Genomic DNA, 21,510 nt, shown 5'->3' with positions numbered 1-21,510 from the left:
TGCACTCCAGCTTGGGCAACAGAGCGAAACCCTGTCTTAAAAAAAAAAGAAAAGAAAGAAAGAAGAAAGAAGGAAAGAAAGAAAGAGAAAGAAAGAGAGAAAGAAAGAAAAAAAGAAAGAAAGGAAGAAAGAAAGGAAGGAAGGAAGGAAGGAAGGAAGGAAGGAAGGAAGGAAGGGCAGGCGTGGTGGCTCACGCCTGTAATCCCAGCACTTTGGGAGGCCGAGGAGGGCGGATCACAATGTCAGGAGATCGAGACCATCCTGACTAACACGGTGAAACCCCGTCTCTACTAAAAATACAAAAAATTAGCCAGGCATGGTGGTGGGTGGCTGTAGTCCCAGCTACTCGGGAGGCTGAGGCAGGAGAATGGCGTGAACCCGGGAGGTGGAGTTTGCAGTGAGCCGAGATTGCGCCACTGCACTCCAGCCTGGGCGACAGAGCGAGACTCTGTCAAGAAAGAAAGGAAGAAAGAGAAAGAAAGAAACCTGGTAACCAGTTGGAGTCCCTTTTTCACATATCATATCAGTTTCCTATTGCTAACATAAGTTACCAACAGCAGAGTGGCTTCAAACAACACACATTTTTATTATCTTACGGTTCCAGAGCTCAAAAGTCTCTCTGGGCTAAAGCCAAGGTGCCAGTAGGGCTGCATTCTTCTGGAGGCTCTGGGTGAGTTTATTTGCCTCTTCCACCTTCTCTCAGAGGCTGCCCATATTCTTGGGCTCGTGGCCCCTTAGAATGGGGCCCTCTTCAAAGCCAGCCGCGGGGGTTAAGTCTCTCTCACATGGCATCGCTGACCTTTTGTCGGCAGTCGTGTCTCCCTCTGACCTCCTGTGCCTCTGTCTTCCACTGTTAGGGACCCTTGTGATGACATTGGCCCCAGTGGCTGCCAGTGTAATGATCCATGATAATCACCCTATTTTAAGGTCATCCGATTAGCAACCTTCATTCTACCTGAAACCTTAATTCCCCTTTGCCATGTAACCTACATATTCACAGGCATTAGGTTTGGGCATATTGGGGTGGATGTAAGGGGAACATTCTGTACATAAGTAATCTGATATCAGCTTCTGGCAGAACAAACAGATTACTTATATACAGAATGTTATCCTTAGAGTTCAGAAATTTCACTGGAGTGCAAAAAAAAAAAAACCCCAGATAACCATAAAAACATAATAAAACATTAGAAGTATAAAATACTCTTCTATTATAGGTAAGTTTTAGCTTAAAGAAGAAATCGGCCAGGCGTGGTGGCTTACGCCTATAATCCCAGCACTTTGGGAGGCTGAGGCAGGATGATCACTTGAGCCCAGGAGTTTGAGACCAGCCTGGGCAACATGGCAAAACCCTGTCTCTACAAGAAATACAAAAATTAACTGGGCGTGGTGGTGCGCACCTGTAGTCTCAGCTACTCGGGAGGCTGAGGTGGGAGGATTCCCTGAGCCTTGGGAGGTCAAGGCTGCAGTGAGCTGTGATCACGCCACTGCACTCCAGCCTGGATGACAGAATGAGACCTGGTCTCAATTTAAATAAAAAAAAAAAAAAGAAAGAAATCAATGTTAAAACTACAAATTAAAAAGAAATTAATGAAAAGGAGAAAACTTCAGAGCAACACTTATGGGATACAGTGATACCTTAAATGCTTTTATTATTATACAACAAAGAATGTATATAAATGGACCAGGCGTGCTGGCTCACGCCTGTAATCTCAGTGCTTAGGGAGGCTGAGGCAGGTGGATCATTTGACGTCAGGAATTCAAGACCAGCCTGGCCAAGATGGCGAAACCCCATCTCTACTAAAAATACAAAAATTAGCTGGGCGTGGTGGCACATGCTTGTAATCCCAGCTACTGAGGAGGCTGAGGCAGGCGAATCGCTAGAGCCCAGGAGGCGGAGGTTGTAGTGAGCTGAGATTGCGCCATTGCACTCCAGCCTAGGTGATGGGAGTGAAACCCTGTCTCAAAAAAAAAAAAAAACAAAAAAAAAACCAAGGCTGGACGTGGTGGCTCACATCTGGAATCTTAGCACTTTGGGAGGCAGAGGAGGGCGGATCACCTGAGGTCAGGAGTTCGAGACCAGCCTGGCCAACATGGTGAAACCCTATCTCTACTAAAAATACAAAAATTAGCCAGGCGTGGTGGCAGGCGCCTGTAATACCAACTACTTGGGAGGCTGAGGCAGGAGAATCGCTTGAACTCAGGAGGTGGAGGTTGCAGTGAGCTGAGATAGTGCCACTGTACTCCAGCCTGGGTGACAGAGCAAGACTCCGTCTCAAAATAAAATAAAAATAAAAAAGCAAAACAAGCAATACATATATAAGTGAATTAAATATTCAACTTAAAACACAACAAAATAGGCCGGGCGCAGTGGCTCATGCCTGTAATCCCAGCACTTTGGGAGGCTGAGGTGGGCGGATCATTTGAGGTCAAGAGTTCAAAACCAGCCTGGCTAACATGGTGACACCCCGTCTCTACTAAAAATACAAAAATTAGCCGGGTGTGGTGGTGGGTGCCTGTAATCCCAGCTATTCGGGAGGCTGAGGCAGGAGAACTGCTGGAGCATGGGAGGCGGAGGTTGCAGTGAGCCGAGATCCTGCCTCTGCACTCCAGCCTGGGAGACAGAATGACACTGTATCTCAAAAAACAAACAAACACACAAAACAGAACAAAAAAACCCAGCAAAATAAATAAAAAGAAATTATGAGGAGGAAATGAATAAAGATAAAAGCTGAAAATAGTGAATTAGATAACTGAAATACTGAAAAATAAAATTAAAATATGCTTCTTCAAAAAAAAATTGAAAACTCACAATGTGCAAGAAATAAAAGAGAAAAAAAAGCACAGAACAGAAGGAATGAGAAATGAGACAGACTCACAGGGGCAAATGAGAGGAAGTTAATTTCCAGGGGATGTTATTGCAGTTGCATTTCAATAAATGTCCACCTGTTCTACATGCAATGGGTGATTTTCTTAAAAATCAAGTAAGTAGAAATGTTGGTAATAGGGGAACTTAAATTGGAAGAATTTTAAAACCAAACTATACCTGGGGGCACCTGGGTGGTTAACCACTGGGGGAAACCAGCCACCTCGGGCCGTCCTTGAAAAGATGTGCATTGTAACTGTGAATAACTGAGCAGGCTCCTGTCAAGACAATAGTTGAGAACCATCCCAAGACTGAGCCAGGAGCCCGGCAGGTAGACCCCGCTCTGCCACCCTTCACTGTGGGGATTTGGGCAGGTCCTTCCTCTCCCTGAGCCTCTGTTTCCTCCAGAGGCCGCTCCAAGATGGCAGACTCTGGAGCCCCGTGGGGCAGGTGGAGGTGGCCAGGGCAGGGGGTGTTAGGGAGGAGGAAGGAACAAGATAGGGTGAGAGTGCTTCTGAGTCACCACCACCTCTGACTGCTTCTGCCAGAGCAGCCCCATTCTTAACCTTATTACAGAGTGGATTTTCTTGTATGATTTCATCTGAAAAAAGGTTTTGCTGCTGGTATTAGTCAGGGTTCTTCAGAGAAACAGAGCCAATAGGATGTATAGTGTATAGACAAATAGAAAGAGATTTATTATGGGGGATTGGCTTATGCGATTATGGAGGCTGAGATGTCCCATGATCAGCCATCTGCAAACTGGTGGCCCAGGAAAGCGGGTGGTGTGGTTCCAGTTCACATTTGAAGGCCTAAGAACAAGGGGAGCTGGTGGTGGGAATCCCAGTCCAGGTCCAAAGGCCTGAGAACCAGGAGCTTCAACGTTCTGGGGCAGGAGAAGATTGATGTCCTAGTAGATGTCAAACAGAGAGAGAAAGTTCGCCCTTCCTCTACCTTTTTGTTCTGTTCAGGTTCTCAACAAGTTGGATGATGACCCCCCAGCCCCCCCACCCTACCCCCGCATTGGTGAGATCAAGCTTCCTTAGTCTACTGATTCTCTTCTGGAGACACTCGCAAACACCACCAGAAAGAAGGTTTGACCAGCTCTCTGGGCATCCCTTAGCCTAGTCAAGTTGACACATGAAATTAACCATCACACTGTTGAAACAAAGTGTGAAAACCAGGTGATCCCCCAACTTCCGAGCTACTTCCACGTCCAAACTTCGTAACATTCACCTGGCAAAGTTCACTGGTTTTGCTTTGATAACTTTCTGGTTTCTTTGAGTGATAAAGATGTTCATAATTTAGCCCCGAAATGGAGATGAATATGTGTGTGACGTGTGTGTGTGTGTGTGTGTGTGTGTGTGTGTGTGTGTGTGTGTTCCTTCTTTCGCAAAACCACTGCCTAATTTGGAATATAATTTCAACTTGCTTTTCCAAAATGACCTAGAGCTTGGCAAGAGCATAGGGCTGATGAGCCTGTGAGGTGGGTAGATAGCTTCCTCACACATGCCCGACTTTCTCCTTGGAGAATGATGAGGTTTACAGCCTTTAGGTAAAAATAGCTTTGTGTGGCTTCCGCCAGGAAGACACTTAAAAAGGGAGAGAGGATTAGGTTGCTAAAAAAGAAAAAAATCTACCAAATTGCTACCATAATTTTGGAATTCATTTTTGCAAAACATATCAGAAGACATAAAGATGATCTTGCCTGCTAACTCAGTAATTCCACTTCTGGGCATTTGCCTCAAAGAAATAAATTTAACTAAAAGAAAAGCTCAGTGGACAGCTGCTCACTGCAGTCTCCTCTGCCATAGCAAAACACCCAAAGCAAGAAAAGATGCTCAGGGTGAAGTGTGAAGGGCAAAGGGTACTGCAAGTTCAGAGGCTCACAGTCCACTCCTTCATGTATTCACCAAACACTTCTGATAACATGTGGGCACCAGGCACTGTGCTAGGTGATGGGAAAGAAGAGTGCCCGAGATGCAGAGTGCTTCCACCTTAGGGTGCTGATTGGCAGAAAGGCTGGAGGCACATAAACCTACACCCACAATTCAGCATGAGAAGGGAAGTACAACAGAGGTGGGGACACAGAGGAGGGACAAGAACCAGCCTTGGCACTCAGGGAAGCCTTCTCGGAATAAGTGACTTTTTATTTTTTTTTGAGACGGAGTCTTGCTCTGTCGCCCACACTGGAGTGCAGTGGTGCAATCTTGGCGCACTGCCACCTCCGCCTCCTGGGTTCAAGGGATTCTCCTGCCTCGGCCTCCTGAGTAGCTGGGACTACAGGTGCCTGCCACCATGCCCGGCTAATTTTTGTATTTTTAGTAGAGACGGGGTGTCACCATGTTGGTCAGGTTGGTCTCGAACTCCTGACCTCAGATGATCCACTGGCCCTGCCCTCCTAGAGTGCTGGGATTACAGGTGTGAGCCACTGTGCCCTGCTGGAAGTGACTTTTGAGCTGAGTTCTGAAAGTTATGGTGGTTGGCCAGAATGATGAGAGGAAGAGGGTTGGGGGCACAGAGCATGAGCAAAGACCAGGTGGCAACGAGAGGCTGCCGTGGTGGTTGGACAGAGAAAAGCTCTGTGGCAGGAGCTGAGAGATGGTGCTGGAGAGGAACCAGAGCTCACTGACCGGTCCTGTGTGTAACATGAAGGAGCTTTTTCCTAAGAATTTTTAAGCAGGAGAGTGATATGGTCAGATTTATGGTTTGGAAAGGTCACTCAGACTGCCTGGAGGAAGGTCAACATGGCTGCAGCCAGGCCAGCAGTGATGGTGGCCCTCCAGGGCATAGGCAGCATCCGTGGAGAGATGACGTGGACACGTGCCCTGGCTCCTCATGGAGCAGAGCCCTCGATTCTGGAAGAGGCAGAATGGTGCTGTGGTTGAGTGTGATCTTGGAAACCTGACTACATGGGTTAAAATCCCAATTGTTTCACTGTGTGACCCTCTCACAGGGCTGTTGAGAGTGTTGAAGGAGCCGTCATGCATAAGGCACCTCCAACAGTACCTGGCAAGGGGTGGGTAAGAGCTCGCTGAGTGATGCTATCGAGGTTGTCACTTATTGGCTGCTTGCTGATACAGGCAAGAGGAACACCCACATGCCTGGCATGGGCCACTGGGAGGATGGCATGCGGGTTTTTGGGGGAGAAGTGGATGAATTGGGTTTGAGCATGTAGAGATGGAGGCTCCAGTGAATGAGCAGATGGAGACATCCTGCAGGATGTTGAACACAGAGGTTTGAAGCTAGGAGACAGGCTGAGTCAAAGATAGTGATTGGGACCTTGTAAGGGTTGAAGAGGCGGCTGGCCCCAGGGAGCTGATGAGATAACCTGGGGAGAAGGTGGAGGGAGAAGAGAAGAGGGCCCCGAGAGAGCTCTGTGGCAAAGGGATGGACCAGGAAGGTTTTTTTCTAACAGGAAATATTTGAGCCTGTCTAAATGTTGATGGAAGGAGCATATAAAGCACAAGTACACTGTGGAGAAATGGCATTCAGTAAGGGTGGCCTTTAGTATTTTTTATTATCATCATTATCACCATCATTACCACCACCATCACCATCACCACCATCACCACCATCACCACCATGATCACCAGTGTGAAAGGAAAATATCTTGGGCCCCTTCAAGCTGGGAACCGCTCAGGACAAATCTGCCTCTCATTCTATTCAAAGTCATCCCTCTGCTCACAGAGATACATGCATATTCTGATTGCCTCCTTTGGAAAGACTTATCAGAAACTCAAAAGAATGCAACCATCTGTCTCTCACCTACCTGTGACCTGGAAGGGAAGGGGTGGGGGGGTTGCTTTTAGTTGTCTCTGCCTTTTTGCATGGAACTAATGTAATTCTTACATATATTCATTGACGTCTCATGTCTCCCTAAAATGTATAAAACCAAGCTGTGCCCTGACCACCTTGGCACATGTTGTCAGGACTTCCTGAGGCTGTGTCACGGGTGTGTCCTGAACCTTGGCAAAATAAACTTTCTAAATTAACTGAAACCTGTTTCAAACTTTGGGAGTTCACAACAGTATCACCACCATCATCATTACCATCATCACCACCATCAGCATCACCACCATCATCACCACAATCATCAGCATCACCACCATCACCATCACCATCACCTCAGCATCACCACCACTATCACCACCACTAACACCGCCATCACCATCACCATCACCTCAGCATCACAATCATCATCATCATCACCATCACTATCACCACCATCACCATCATGTCAGCATCACAATCATCCTCATCATCATCACCATCACTATCACCATCATCACCTCAGCATCACAATCATCATCATCACCACCATCATCAGCATCACCACCATCACCATCACCTCAGCATCACAATCATCGTCACCACCACAATCACCATCATCATCATCACCATGATCATCAACATCACCATCACCTTCATCATCACCATCACCACTAGCAGCAGCATCACCACCATCACCACCACCATGAAACATCACAACCATCATCATCACTATCACGCCGTAACCATCTCCACCATTATCACCACCATGATCACCAGCATCACCACATCATTGGCATCAACATTATCACCATTACCATCACTGCCATCATCAGCACCACCACCACCACCATCATCATCACCATCACAATCTTCAATATGAGAAGACTGTCAAGGAGCAGTGATATAGATTATGGCATCATGTTATGCAGCTGATAGGAGTTATTTATAACAAAGTTATAATGACATGGGAAAATGCCTATAAAGCTACATGAAAAAAGCAATAGAAAGCATTGTATATGCAATATGTTAACTATGGAAACACATCCAAAACTACTCGAAAAAGAAATACAGGAAGGAAATGTGCTCAGAAGTAATAGTGCTATTTCAGGGTGGTAGTGATATGGCTGGGCTTCTTTCTGAATTTGCTATAATGAGTCTGGATGAGTTTTATGATTTAAAGCACATTAACCTTCATTTTCTAAAAAGAAGCAAAGGTGGGCAGCTGGGGGCTGCCCGAGCTAAGGTCACAGCAACCTTGGGTAAATCCCTGTTCTCCAAAGGGCTTTGATTCTGCCTTTAAAAAGAGGGAGTGGGCAAAAGAGCCTTTCCCCCGAGGTGTGCTGAGTCTCTGGCCTAGCAGTGATGTCCCAGGAAGGAGAAGCTGTGCAGTTAGACAGCCTCGGGGACCTGGCACTCTCACACCATGCCCTGGTATCTTCAGCCAGGGGTGTCCCCAGCTGGCTGCAAGTCTCAGGCCCTTATTCTGTCACCACACTCTCTGCTCAAAAGCCACCTCCTCTGCGTGCCTGGGCTTAAGTAGCCCTTGTGACTACCGGCCCCTCCCCGCCCATCTCCAGCGGGAACAGTCTCCTCAGCCTCTTCATTGCTTTCTCCATTCACAGTTCCATGAGAGCAAGAACTCTGGTATCCCCGGCCCCTAGGATGTGCTGCCTCAGGGTAGGGGTGGTGTTTGTTGGGTGAATAGATGAACACAATAGCCCTTCTCGACTCACAGGGCATATTAATGCGTCTAGCTCAGTGCCTCCCCAACACAGGGGCTATTAACATGCTTTGGAATTGGGTTTCACAGAACATACTTTGGGAGATGCTCCCCCAAGACGACCCCTGAGCGTCACTGCAGCCCCACCATTCTATAAGTGGTTAACAGAAACATCTCTGCTATGGGGTGGGCAGGTATCACGAGCATGGCAGACGAGCGTGGTGGCTGTGCGGCTGCCCTCTGGACCCCAGATCCCTATGTCTGGCTGAGTCCTCTCCCTCCCCTACTTCTGGCTGACGTCTGAGCCCTGGAGCTGCCTCAGCCTGGGAAAGAAGTGCAGGAGGGAACTTGCCAGAACAAGGTAGAGGCCTTTCCTGTAGCATCAGTTTCTGAGAATGCTTTCAAATGGAGGAGCAGTGATTGAAGGTGAGGAGGGGCTACCTCAGCTGCCACTGTGGCCAGGACTACAGGGCTGCTGCCTGCTTCTCCCAAGGATTGTTTTAAATGCAGACAAACGGATGCTGTGTTTCTAAACCTGCCTCCTCTGTGTGAATCAGAGTAAAATAAGCCACATGAAAACAGGGGAACCCCGTGCAGAGGAACCCCATGGGCGTCAAGGGGCAGCTGGGCAGTGTGGTGGTGATCACAGTCCATTCTATTTTCAGTCGCCACAGTCTGAGGGCCTGGGAGAACCTAAGTGATTCTGAAGCCCATTTGGCCAAAAGAATCTCAGAAATGTCACTGAGCATGTGACATCAGTCTTACCATGACAGGAAGTCTGGCCATTTCCTAGTTCGGTCCTGGTAAGGAGGGAGGAATCGTCCCAATGTTATAAGCTGAAATGTTATAACCACATTCTTTTTTTGCGGGGGTTGGGGGGTGCGGGGCAGGGATGGAGTCTCACTCTGTCACCCAGCCTGGAGTGCAGTGATGCAGTCTGGGCTCCCTGCAACGTCCGCCTCCCGGGTTCAAGCGATTCACCTGCCTCAACCTCCCAAGTATCTGGGATTACAGGCACCCGCCACCACGCTCGGCTAATTTTTGTATTTTTAGTAGAGATGGGGTTTCACCATGTTGGCCAGGCTGCTCTCGAACTCCTGACCTCAGGTGATCCGCCTGCCTCCGCCTCCCAAAGTGCTGGGATTCCAGGCATGAGCCACCATGCCGGGCCACCTCTGTATGATTAACCTTCTCCCACAGCATTTCCCAAGATGGATGTGTGGAACATTGATCCCTGGGCCAATCACTAATGCCTTAGGAGCAAAGGTGTCTGATGCTCGAGATGGGGAAATGCCCAAATGTATAACCTTCCTATGCCTTTCAGAGGCAACTGGCGCTCACATCTCTCTCTGTCATGTGCAGTGTGCAGCACAGTCTCAAATTATTTGAAACTCTAGCAGCACCCACTCTAATAATGCTCTGAAGACACCAGGCTGAGAACGCCAGCACAGAATGTAGCTGTGAGAACTGGGAGTTCCACCCTTAGCTCTGTTACCAACTTACTGAGTGACCTGGGGCAAGTACCTCAGTCTCTCTAACCCTCTGATACACTGGCTATGTGCTCCTGCTAAGTCTCATGTTGAATGGGAATCCCCAGTGTTGGAGGTGGGGCCTGACGGGAGGTGGCTGGATCACGGGGGTGGGGCCTGACGGGAGGTGGTTGGATCACGGGGGTGGGGCCTGACGGGAGGTGGCTGGATCACGGGGGTGGGGCCTGACGGGAGGTGGCTGGATCACGGGGGTGGGGCCTGACGGGAGGTGGCTGGATCACGGGGGTGGGGCCTGACGGGAGGTGGCTGGATCACGGGGGTGGGGCCTGACGGGAGGTGGCTGGATCACGGGGGTGGACTTCTCATGTTTTAGTACCATCCCCTTGGTGCTTCCTCGTGATAGCAAGTGAGTTCTTGCAAGATCTGGTTGTTTAAAAGCATGTGGCACCTGCTCCTCTCCGCTGTCTCTTGCTCCTGCTTTTGCCATGCGAACTGTCTGCTCCCACTTCACATTCTGCCTTGAATAAAAGCTCTTTGCTTTGAGGCCTCCCCAGAATCCAAGCAGATGCTGGCACCGTGTTTCCTGTACAGCCTGCAGAACCATAAGCCCGTTAAACGTCTTTTCTTTTTTTTTTCTTGAGACAGAGTCTTGCTCTGTCGCCCAGGCTGGAGTGCAGTGGCATGATCTCAGCTCACTGCAACCTCCACTTCCCAGGTTCAAGCGATTCTCCTGCCTCAGCCTCCCGAGTAGCTGGGACTACAGGTGCGCTCCACCGTGCCTGGCTAAGTTTTGTATTTTTAGTAGAGATGGGGTTTCACCATATTGGCCAGACTGGTCTCGAACTCCTGACCTCGTGATCTACCTGCCTTGGCCTACCAAAGTGCTGGGATTACAGGCGTGAGCCACCGTGCCTGGCCATGCCCAGCTAATTTTTGTAATTTTAGTAGTGGCAGGGTTTCACCATTTCAGCCAGGCTGGTCTCGAACTCCTGACCTCAAATGATCCATCCACCTCGGCCTCCCACAGTGCTGGGATTACTGGTGTGAGCCACCATGCCCAGCCATCTTGTCTTTATAAATTACCCAGTCTCGAGTATTTCCTTTTCTTTCTTTCTCTTCTTTTCTTTCTTTCTTTCTTTTTTTTTTTTTTTTTTTAACGGAGTCTCACTCTGTTGCTCAGGCAGAAGTGCAGTGGGGTGATCTCGGCTCATTGCGACCTCTGCCTCCTAGGTTCAAGCCATTCTCCCACCTCTGCCTCCCAAGTAGCTGGGATTACAGGCATGGGTCACCATGCACAGCTAATTTTTTTGTATTTTTTATAGAGACAGGGTTTCACCATGGCCAGGCTGGTCTGGAACTCCTAACATCAAGTGATCTGCTTGCCTCGGCCTCCCAAAGTGCTGGCATTACAGGCATGAGCCACCGCACCCGGCCTTCAGGTATTTCTTTATAGCAGTTTAAGAACAGCCTAATATACCCTCTTTCTTCTCTTCAAAGAGGGGCGATGGATCCTGCTTCTCGGGTCTGTATGAGATGAGATGAAATGACAATTCCTAATATGGATGAGGAAGTGGAGCAACAGAGACTCCCAGGCTGCCAGTGGAGCTGCTGTGGAGAATGGTTTGGCAATATTTAATGCATGCCCCAGAAAATCAGTAGTCCCATTTCCAGGTAGGATCCCAGATAATTTCTTGCAAACATGTACAAAAAACTTGTGCAATAATGTTTGTGGTTATGTAACTGGATGTTGAAATGAGCGTTCAGCCGAGGAGCCAAGATCCAATAGATGTGTCTTCCAGAGGCACTGTTAGACCATGAGCAGCAGTTACAAAAGAGGTTCCCGAGACACCTCCTGGGCATCCTCATCCACGATAAGAGTACTAAAGCGTTGGGAATTAGACATTTTCAGAAGTAATATTTGCAAGGAGGATTTCTTTGGGAGAAAGTTGAGCTGCTGATTCCAACCCTGCTTCTCCTGAGGGAGGACCAGGGAGGGTACTTCTGCCTAAGCCACTTGGAGGGCTTGAGGTGTGCCATCTGCGATTTGTGGACCAGTGCCTCAAAAGCGCCAGCTGCCCAGAGAAGGCTGCATGTGGAAGGCAGTAACTGCCCACCCACTGGTGCAAGGTGTGGGTGTGGGAGGCACAAGTGTCCCCTGAGACCAGATGTGAACCTCCAAGCAAGGATCCAAGCAAGGTCGTCTAAGATCCTGTCTAGCGGGCTTCCCCGGAGGGCGGTGGGATCTCCGCAGGAAGGAGGCCGATGGAGGCAGCCCTCCCGGTGCTTCAGGGCTGCAGAAGGAGGCCGCACCTAAACAGAACACCTTCATTCAGGTCCAGGGGACTGCAGCTGAGAGGCGATCAGCAACGTTGGGGTTCTCCAAGAACCTCTGAAAGCTCTCTCAGAAGGTCAGTTGAAACATACGCCCCACCCAGAAAGTCAACTAGAGTTTCCCTTTCTCTCTCCACACCCCAACCCTCCCCAGGTCAGAATCAGCCCTGGCAAGCTGGAGAGAGGGGCGGTGCTCTGCTCTTCTGCCACCAGGTGGCGCACCTGCAGTTGGCCGCGGGGCTGGAGGGGGCTTGGGAAGGGGAGGTTTTCAATTTATAACCCAAGTTCAAGGTCTTTTCATAATTACTTATTCAGTCTGCTAGAGCAGCTACTCGTGTTTTCAGCCTAAATAGCCAAATTTGTTCTTAACTGGCCCGCATTATAAGCCCAGGCGTCACCTGTGTTCCAGAGCCCCTGAATCTCACGTCCCCTCCGGCTTCCCGCACGCCGGGGTCCCCTGAGATCCGGGGCAGTCAGCGAGAAAGTGTGTGCTACCCGCAGCCCCGCCCCAGCTCCCTAGCGCAGGGTGGTGTGCGCGTGTGCCCCATTTTTATTGAAACTTAGAGTTGACCTGCGGACCCCCTGGAACGCCCCAGGAGGGCACGGACTTCCTGCAGGGGAGGCTCCCCTTAAACAAGCCTCCTTCCTTCAAGAGGGAACTTGGTACTCCGAAAGGCTTCTGTGGTCCGGTCTGGCTTGCCAGCAAGGTAGGGAAGATCCAGGCTGTCTGGCCCAGAAGGGGGTCTCCTGAGGTGGCCTAAAGCACAGCCAGGGATCCGGCAGGAGATGGAAGGAGCCCAGGTTTCAGACAGCACTGAGCATCCCGTCTGCAGGAGATGGGGAGGGGCAGGGATGCCACTAGGCATCGAGCAGCGGGGTCAGGGGGGAAGAATTGGGCTCTGGAGAAGGGTTCAGAACTGGGGGCTGCACGCTCGACACCCGACCCTGAACTGCTCAGCAGGGAGGCCAGGCAGCTGTTCTAGGCTCCTGTGCAGCCAGGCTCTGAGACACAGCATCAGGCTTGACAGCCCGAGAAACTGAAATCATCAAGTTTGTCAGCTGTGATGATGTCATGGTGTCCTCACACAAAGTGTCTTCACCACAGCGGCAGACTGAAGTATTTATAGGTGAAACGACATGGTGGCTTAGACTTGCTTTTTTTTTTTTTTTTTTTTTTTTTTAGAGACAAAGTCTTGCTCTGTCACCCAGGCTGAAGTGCAGTGGCGCAATCACAGCTCACTGCAGCCTCCTGGGGTCAAGCGACCTTCCCTCTTCAGCCCCTGAAGTAGCTGGGACTACAGGTGCACTCTACCACATTCAGCTGAGTTTTTAGTTTTTTGCAAAGATGAGGTCTTGGTATATTGCCCAGGCTGGTCTCAAAGTCCTGTAGGCTTGTTTTAAAAAATACTCCATCTTGGCCAGGCACGGTGACTCACACCTGTAATCCCAGCACGTTGGGAGGCTGAGGTGGGCAGATCACGAGGTCAGGAGTTGAGACCAGCCTGGCCAACATGGTGAAATCCTGTCTCTACTAAAGATACCAAAAAGTTAGCTGGGCGTGGTGGTGCGTGCCTGTAATCCCAGCTACTCGGGAGGCAGAGGCAGGAGAATTGCTTGAACCTGGGAGACGGAGGTTGCAGTGAGATGAGATCATGCCATTGCACTCCAGCCTGGGCAACAGGGCGAGACTCTGTCTCAAAAATACAAAAACAAAAACAAAAACTCCATCTCCCCCAAAAGTTAGGGGAGACAGAGGAAACAAGATTTTCTAAATGTTTGATTTTTTTTTTCTTTAACCAGGGGAAAGCATGAACACAGCCCCCATGACCACAGATGACGCAGCCGAGTTTCCCACTTTTGGGGAAATTGCAGGGGTCAGCACGTCTGGAGTGCAGTGGATAAGCCTCACCCCAGGAAGACCACTTTCGTGATCACGGCATCTCCCCTGCCAGGTGAGTACGCTGATCATTTTTAGTCTGGGTGAGAGGCTCTCTCTACTTTTGTGTATGTTTGAAATTTTCTGTAAAGTTTTTTTTTTTTTTTTTTCAGACTGAGTTTCGCTCTTGTTGTCCAGGCTGGAGTGCAGTGTTGTGGTGTCGGCTCACTGCAACATCCGCTTCCTGGGTTCAAGCGATTCTCCTGCCTCAGCCTCCCAAGTAGTTGGGATTACAGGCATGTGCCACCACACCCGGCTAATTTGTATTTTTAGTAGAGACTGGGTTTCACCATGTTGGCCAGGCTGGTCTCAAAACTCCTGACCTCAGGTGATCTGCTGCCTCGGCCTCCCAAAGTGCTAGGATTACAGGCGTGAGCCACCACGCCTGGCCAAAGTTTTTTTTAAAAAAGAGAATCTGCAGGAAGAACAGGTCTGGAGTCAGTTTTCACCTTGCATCAAGCGCATGTTCCCTAGCTCCTTTTCACCAAAACCTGTCCCCCTAGTTGTGGATTGGACCATCCCCATCTACCCTTTCCTATGCGCTCCTGTGCCTGTAAGATAGGATGACAGCAGCCTGTTCCCAAACCACAGAAGAGATGGCTAATGAATGGAATAGCCAACCTTTGGGCGTGGGAGTAATCATTCAAAAAAATGTGGGGGGCTGGGGAGATGCCAGAATGGGCTTTCCAGTGAAGCAAAGACAGCCCCTGCCAGGGAGTCCCTCTCACCCCGGCGGCCAGGACCTAAGATCTACCAATGCCAAGAATCCACTGAACTTTGCCTCTCCCCAGTTCCAACCGGCCTGGAAGCTTCCTCCACCTCCACACCCCCCGCCCCCACTGGGCTGACAGCCCAGTGCGACCCGTGGCCTCATGTTCTCTCTTCCCTACGTGGCTGAGGCTGTCCCCACCTTGCCTGGATCTCCTGCCTGGCACTGCCTGCGCATGGAGATGCTGGAATGCCGGTTGCTAAGCCAGTGCAGAGTCCACACTGGCTCCTGGCAAGCACTGCATCGAGCTGCCCTGCTGCTGCAGACGCAAGATCCTCCACGTGTGGGACTGTCTCCTGCTCCACCATGGCCCTCCTGGCTCTCGCTCCTCTCCGGCAGCCCACTTACCTGCCCTTGGATTCTGGAGTCCCCCAAGCTGGCTTGGGAGCCTCTTTTGGCCTGGGTTGAGCAACCTACAATCTCAAGCACACCTTGGCTCCCAAAACCAGCCTCCGGGGAGAGCCTCCCGTGTCCACCTCCCACAGGATGTCTGTGCTGGGCCTGCAAAGCCGAATGCCTACTTTGCCCTTGCAGTTGGATGTCAACTCGCTTCACCTGTTCCAGGCCTTACTACCCTCCTTCAGACGGTCAGTGATCTGCATTTTAGCTCTTGGCACTGTCATCCCACCAGAGAAGCAGTCAGGGACCTTGGACTCAGCCCCGCCCACATCCACTCCACCTGCGAGCTCTGCCGACGCCACCCCACAAACCTCTCTGGGACAGTGCTCCCACCTCCCCACTCCACGCCACCATCACTGCCCACTGAGATGACAGTAAAGCCCCCACCCATCAGCCCCCGGCCTGGAAGCCCTTTCAGAATTGCAGTGGGAACCCTTCCCTGCCTAACCCACCAGCGGCCCCCCTTTGCTGTTGGGATTTGGAATAAAGCCCTTAACATGCCCCCCGTGCCCTGCCTCTCACAAACTGCCCTGGACTCCTGTGCCCCTACCCTGTGCTCTTGAATTTCCCTCTCAAAAGGGTTTTGTGAGTGTTGGCCTCAGCCTCCAGTGCCTCTCTCCCCGCTCTCCCGGGTCATTTCCTTCTCTTTCTGCCAGGGAAACTTTCCGGAGTCCCCATACTCACTCGGGTCTTCCAGTTAGATGCTCTCAATTCCTTCCTGGCTCATATGGTGGTCATCTAGCACGCGGCTGGGCATGCGTTCTGCTAACCTCTGGCTCTTCTGATGCCATGTAGGCGCCCCAGGGCAGGCACTGGTGTGGTTTTGCCCGTCCTTATATTCCCAGCGCCCAGCACATGTCATTAAGACAAGTTTGGAACAAGTGCCTGTCTTGGGGAAGTTATTTCCTTCTCCAAGCCTCAGTGTATCTATCAAATAGCCCTGCTTTCCCTGCAGGCTGTCACAAGCCTACAAAATCCCCCAAACAAACACCCGCAGAATGACAGATGGCCTCCCTGCCCTGGTAGTGTCACTCTTCAAATCAACTTCCCAGGCCCTGGAGGCAGGCGGCAGCAGGCTGTCAGCCTTCAGAGTCCCCAGAGTGAGACAGGGTCTCATTTTGTCACCCAGGCTGGAGTGCAGTGGTCTGCTCCAGGCTCACTGCAACCTCGACCTCCCAGGCTCAAGCAATCCTCCCACCTCAGCCTCCAGGAGTAGCTGGGATTACAGGCACATACCACTATACTCGGCTACTTTTTAAAATTTTTGGTAGAGATGGGGTCCTGCTGTGTTGCCCAGGCTGGTTGTGAACTCCTGGGCTCAAGTGATCCTCCCACCTCAGCCTCCCAAAGTGCTGGGATTACAGGCTGGGCCACTGTGCCTGGCCTCTTTTATAATTTTCTTAACATTTTATCTTCTCTAGCTTACTTTATTGCAAGCGTGTACTATATAATACATATTGACAAAATATGTGGAAATTGTTCTCAGTGAGGCATCCAGTCAACAGTAGGCTATCAGTAGTTAGGTTTTTGGAAAGTAAAAAGTTATACATAGATCTTTGACTGCGTGTGGGGTCAGCACCCCTAACCCCTGTGTTGTTCAAGGGTCAACTGTGCTCTTTTGCAAGCTTTGAAGCATGTGAACGCCAGCACCTACCCTGTTCTTGAGGAAATCCAGCGTTCCCTTGATACTTGACCTTATCTAAACAGGACTGCCACGGAGACTTTACTCTGCAAAAGCAACAATTTCATCTTCACAAAGTTTCAAATGGTAAATAAAAAAAAATCCCCTGAGGGCTTTTTGTTCACTGGAAAATTCTCTCATGCTAACAAACTTAATTATTGTAACTACAAATAAATCGTAATCTTTCCTTTCCTTTCATCTTTCCTCATCTTACGTGCTGCAGGGAAGCTGGGCTAAGAGCTGCGCGGTTCCTGAGCCTCTCGTTCCGGGAGAATCTTGGAGGTTCAAGGCCTTGCTTGCCTGAGAGGTGCTGAGCAGTGGCACAGGGTCATTGCTCGCTGTGTTAACGCGTGAGTGAGTGAACAGTGAACACCTGCAAGGTTAATACTGCACTGGTTAAAGAATTTCAATTAAAATGAAATGAAGCCATTTTAAATCCATCAAATTCATTCATTCATTCATAATAAAGTGATTAATCATTATAAAGAGAGCAATAGTAGTTTACATATATATATAACAGTACATTTATCTAAAATAGTAGATGTGTGTGTGTTTGTATCCTTTGTCCATTATTGAGCTTGGCAAACAGGAGTACATAGAAATAAAAGCAGACCTTACTGACATGTAAGTCAATAATGAATGCCTTTTCCTTCCCTCATCTTATCATTCTCTCCATTGTTAATTTAAAAACAATTGCTTTTGCCAGTATTCACAAAACCACGTAAACTGACAATTGAGTATGGTAATTAGGCCAAATCCTTTATGGTTATCTCCCCTGATGAATGCTTCCACGCCATCTGCAAACTACAGTCTCATCTGCAAACTACAGTCTCATCTGCAAATGGCCCAGGTGAGAATAAAATCTGCATATGAAACAGAATATAGTGTGAATCATATCTAATTTTAAATATTTTAATTTATATGCTTTCATGAATATAGGTCAATAAGAAATCCACTTTTCAGATTTTATTTCATTATAGAATATATTTGACAAGGATACATACAAACAGATTCATCTTCAATAATACATGGTGTTTACTGGTGCCCTGCACTTCTGCAGTAGGCTGGTGATGTCATCAAAAATGTTTTTGAAAGTTGCACTTCATCAGTCACTCTAAACAACCAGTGCCATAGAGCTCAGATAATTCCATTCATTTACTTGCCTTGAATGAGTAAAAATCTTAATATTTGCTTTAAAGTCTGTTTATTACTCTTCTATTTAAAAATTTGAGATACATTCCCCAATGTAAACAATAAATTTCAATCTGTCACACAATCGAAATGGATAAGGCCTTCTTGACAAATTTCTGCCACCTCCGTTTAACGCATCAGAACTCAATCTTATCTCATACTGTAATGGGTCGCCCATGCACAAAAGACAGGAAAAGCAGCTGCCCTTGGTACCTGGTGGAGCCTTTCGAGACTTCTCTCTGCAGGTTTATGGTACGCTCGAGAGAGATCTTTCTGACTTGGTCTACTTGGTCATAAAATACAAATATACAATGTCCATAAGCATAAGACAGTAAAGCCTAGTCTTACATATTTATTATGAATTGCTAGAATCCTATACAAGTACAATATCATCTCATGCCAAGTAATATACACAAGAAGGTGGCAAAATGTCTCACCGTGAATCAGGGCGTGTGAACAAGGGATGGGGGATGCAAGCCAGGTGGGTGTGAAGAGGCTGACCGCATCTGGTTAGGCAGGACGGTGTCACTGAAACTTGGAAACGCCTGTGTACCCTGCTGAAATATTGAAGTCAGTTAGGAGTAGAGTCTGCTTAGCACAAGAGGGATACAAGCCCTCTCTCACAGCCTCCCCAAGGGAGAATGCAATGAAACTTTGGAAAATGTAACCAAACACAGTCTCATCTTTGTGTCTCCTGATTCAGCTGTGCAAATCAGTTATTCACTCTTCTGAAGTGATCTGTCCTTTTAGGACCAATTCCTCAACAGCCATCGTGGTTCAGTACCTCATTATCATCATAAATATTTGACTTAGCAAGCTAGATGGTGAAACAGTGAAGATTATATACAATGTTTTAAAAGGCATTCTGTGACCATTTTTGAAGAGTTCATAGAAAAGTTACTAAGAATATACCAGTTACTTCTGTTGATGTGGCTATAATGTAAACGTTGCAACCTTGTTGGTATTCAATGTGCACTGTGTCATATATTGTACAACAAAAGTGAACACGGAACCGCTGATCCGCTGTGGCGCCCGCTGACACGCTAAGCTAAGGTAGCCGGCGGAGGGCACAGTTTTCCTGAGGTTTGTAAGAATTTTTTAAACAAAACAGAAATCACAGTGACCAAGGGTAATGCGAGTCTGTGTCTTCCTTGCCCATGCTGCTCCCCACAGCTCTCGGTGGGTACTAAATGACGCGCCACTGCATGATGCTTGTGTCTTTCCCGCCCGTGGAGATGAGGTGGCTGTCTTCACAGAGGAAATCGACATTGGTGACATGGCTGCTGTGCCCGCCGTAGATGTGGCTTGGAGCCTGGAGGGAATGATACGGGGGAAAGCTTCCTTTACTACAAGGCGAACCATCTGGGATGGGAAAGTGCTTGAATTCTCACTGCATGCCTTAATTCCTTTACTCGCCCTCCGCTCGGCAGCTCTCACTTGGGAACCTGCTCTGTGTGTGACACAGAAGGGACACAGAAACAAAGCCCACAGTCCTCGTGGCCTGGTAGGGGACAGACACGAGCAAATGACCGCCCTCAGCCGAGAGATATGCTCAGTATCAGAGGTGCCAGGTATGAGGTCGCCCCAAAGGTGGGCCTAACCAGATGCCCGGGGCTGAGGGTGAGGGGTCTCCAGGGTCAGGATCACGGAGGATGAAGAAGGGCGTCCCAGGGCTCAGGGCTGGCGCGGCTGAGCAGGGCCGGAGCAAGGGAGCCGTGGGGGAGGGCGGGGTCGTGAGCCTGTGGGGCTGCAGAGGTGGATGAGCAGCTCTGAACGGCTTTGTGGGTCCTGTGGGGCTTGGGGTTTCCCTAAGGGCGGCTGGAAGTGCTCAGGGCGCAAAGAACAGAGTCACATCTGCCTTTGTGGCTGGCAGCAGTCGCTCACAGCCCATTTCCACTTAGTCTCCAAACAGGTCGGGTGTACGTGCATGCCCCATGGGGGATAAGATTAGTGAAGAAACAAGTCCTTTACCCTGAACTGCGAGCAGGGGTATGAGAAGAGGTGCACTTTGCCAAAGTCGTCGCCTGTTGACAGGAGTTTCTTCTCATGGGCCCGACAGACGGCATTGATGTCGGTTCCGTCCGAGCCTTCTGGCCACACTCCTAAAACAAAGACCACAAACAGGGCGCTGGAAACACCAGGGGCCACAGGGCCACATGGCGCAGGAAGCGCCCACTGAACGGTCCTGAACATGAAACTGCCTGAAGTCCAGCTTTAGAAACAAGGGTCAAAAAAGCACAATAGCCTCAGTTCCTGGCCTCTCGCTGTGCGCCCAGTCTCCTCTCACTCAGGCCAGTCTCGGAGACCCTCTGATGCTCTGCTGTGCAAGGGGAGCAAAGACAAGCTTTCCGGGCTGCCAGGTCTTTTGAGGCCTCATCTTGAGGCCAAGGCAGACAGTACCAGGAACCCCAGTTCCAAAGTGACACCTCTCCTTGATCTCTGAAGCATCTTGTGGGAAGCTGCCCTGTCCTCAAGCCTGCAGTTTCCTTGTTATTGCTGTAACTCTACATGGGTGGGTCTCTCCAAAGGCCTTTTAACCCTGGGTGTGCGCATGTTTCTTGGGGTCACTCACTGTGGCTGTTGCTTGCTTGGGGCAGCCTGGCAGCTGTGCCCATCATTACTGGCTCCAGGCTCTGCATCCCTGAGCCCAGGTGGGCCTGGAGAATGGGTGGGTGGGGGACACCCTCTTCTGACCATTGTCGGGTGAGCCCAGGTGGGCCTGGAGAATGGGTGGGTGGGGGACGCCCTCTTCTGACCATTGTCGGGGAAACCCTTTCAACAATACCTGTGGCTAGGAGAGGGCTGGATGCACGTTGGGTTTTCGACTGGGAGCTCTGGAGTGAACCTCCGGACCTCAGCACTGAACACCACAAAACTGCAAATTCTCACAAGACTTGTAGTCTTACGTAAAGAGACAATAAACACTATCTTTAAAAATTCTATTAATTTGCAGCCCTTTAATTTAGTTCACTTATGAAAATATTCCTAAAGTGAATGTTGAAGAAAGTGAAATTTTTAGTTTAAGAACAAAAAATATATAAATAATAACCCTCACAAATGGTAAGTTGACTGAGTGCCATCTGGTCCACCTAGGTCCATGTGGCACAACCTGATAGGAGAGGGTTCCAGGGAATTATCTTAGGACCTGCTGCCCTGTACAGTGGAGAAGGGTTAAAAACCCATCTCTCTGGTTCTTCTCAGTGGGCCACGGCCAGGCAAGCCCAGGCCCTACCCCAGGGTGCGGCAGGAGGTGTGTCTCATGGGCCTCCCGTAGCAGCCGAGCAATCTGACAAGACTGGTGACCATGAGACTCCGTAGCAACTGAAGAAATATTTTAAAAGGAGACACTCTTTTGTTGG

General features: G+C 49.4%; 1 protein-coding gene, 1 long non-coding RNA gene and 1 pseudogene across 14 annotated transcripts in view, besides 3 other annotated features; 1 reads left to right on the top strand and 2 right to left on the bottom strand.

Moving 5' to 3' along the window:
* Nucleotides 8,409-8,910: an enhancer, noted in NCBI's record as "H3K4me1 hESC enhancer chr14:100416877-100417378 (GRCh37/hg19 assembly coordinates)". NCBI's record gives its function as "activates a minimal SCP1, AML or CMV promoter by ChIP-STARR-seq in naive H9 embryonic stem cells {active_cell/tissue: H9 hESC(naive)}" and the evidence as "EXISTENCE:reporter gene assay evidence [ECO:0000049][PMID:30033119]".
* LOC102724682 (uncharacterized) lies at nt 10,149-17,446 on the top strand. 2 transcript variants are annotated; one of them, XR_007064328.1, is made up of 6 exons: nt 10,149-10,250; nt 11,342-11,515; nt 13,976-14,127; nt 14,903-15,467; nt 16,987-17,047; nt 17,184-17,446. It is a non-coding gene; the product is annotated as an uncharacterized LOC102724682 (long non-coding RNA). The 2 variants fall into 2 exon arrangements; XR_007064327.1 differs by lacking the exon at nt 17,184-17,446 and having other exon boundaries at nt 13,976-17,152.
* Nucleotides 12,409-13,337: an enhancer, noted in NCBI's record as "H3K4me1 hESC enhancer chr14:100412450-100413378 (GRCh37/hg19 assembly coordinates)". NCBI's record gives its function as "activates a minimal SCP1, AML or CMV promoter by ChIP-STARR-seq in naive H9 embryonic stem cells {active_cell/tissue: H9 hESC(naive)}" and the evidence as "EXISTENCE:reporter gene assay evidence [ECO:0000049][PMID:30033119]".
* On the bottom strand, nt 13,973-14,135 carry RNU1-47P (RNA, U1 small nuclear 47, pseudogene; annotated as a pseudogene).
* Nucleotides 17,390-21,510, bottom strand: part of EML1 (EMAP like 1) — a 204,339-nt gene continuing 200,218 nt past the window's right edge. For all 12 annotated transcript variants that reach the window (XM_005267398.3, NM_001375411.1, NM_001440377.1 and 9 more), the window contains 2 exons: nt 20,123-20,253; nt 17,390-19,463 (listed from right to left, as the gene is read on the bottom strand). In XM_005267398.3, coding sequence (XP_005267455.1) covers nt 19,338-19,463; nt 20,123-20,253 — 257 coding nt within the window. In that variant the 3' untranslated portion in view covers nt 17,390-19,337. The remainder of the gene's footprint in view (nt 19,464-20,122; nt 20,254-21,510) is intronic.
* Nucleotides 19,193-20,392: an enhancer, noted in NCBI's record as "BRD4-independent group 4 enhancer chr14:100405395-100406594 (GRCh37/hg19 assembly coordinates)". NCBI's record gives its function as "activates an origin of replication core promoter dependent on BRD2, P300/CBP, MED14 and CDK7 cofactors, and independent of BRD4, by STARR-seq in HCT116 cells {active_cell/tissue: HCT116}" and the evidence as "EXISTENCE:reporter gene assay evidence [ECO:0000049][PMID:35650434]".

This window comes from Homo sapiens, chromosome 14 (genome assembly GCF_000001405.40).
Source record: "Homo sapiens chromosome 14, GRCh38.p14 Primary Assembly".
NCBI lineage: Eukaryota > Metazoa > Chordata > Mammalia > Primates > Hominidae > Homo > Homo sapiens.
The sequence above is the reverse complement of the archived record's forward strand: the minus strand, read 5'-3'. Positions and strand labels throughout refer to the sequence as shown.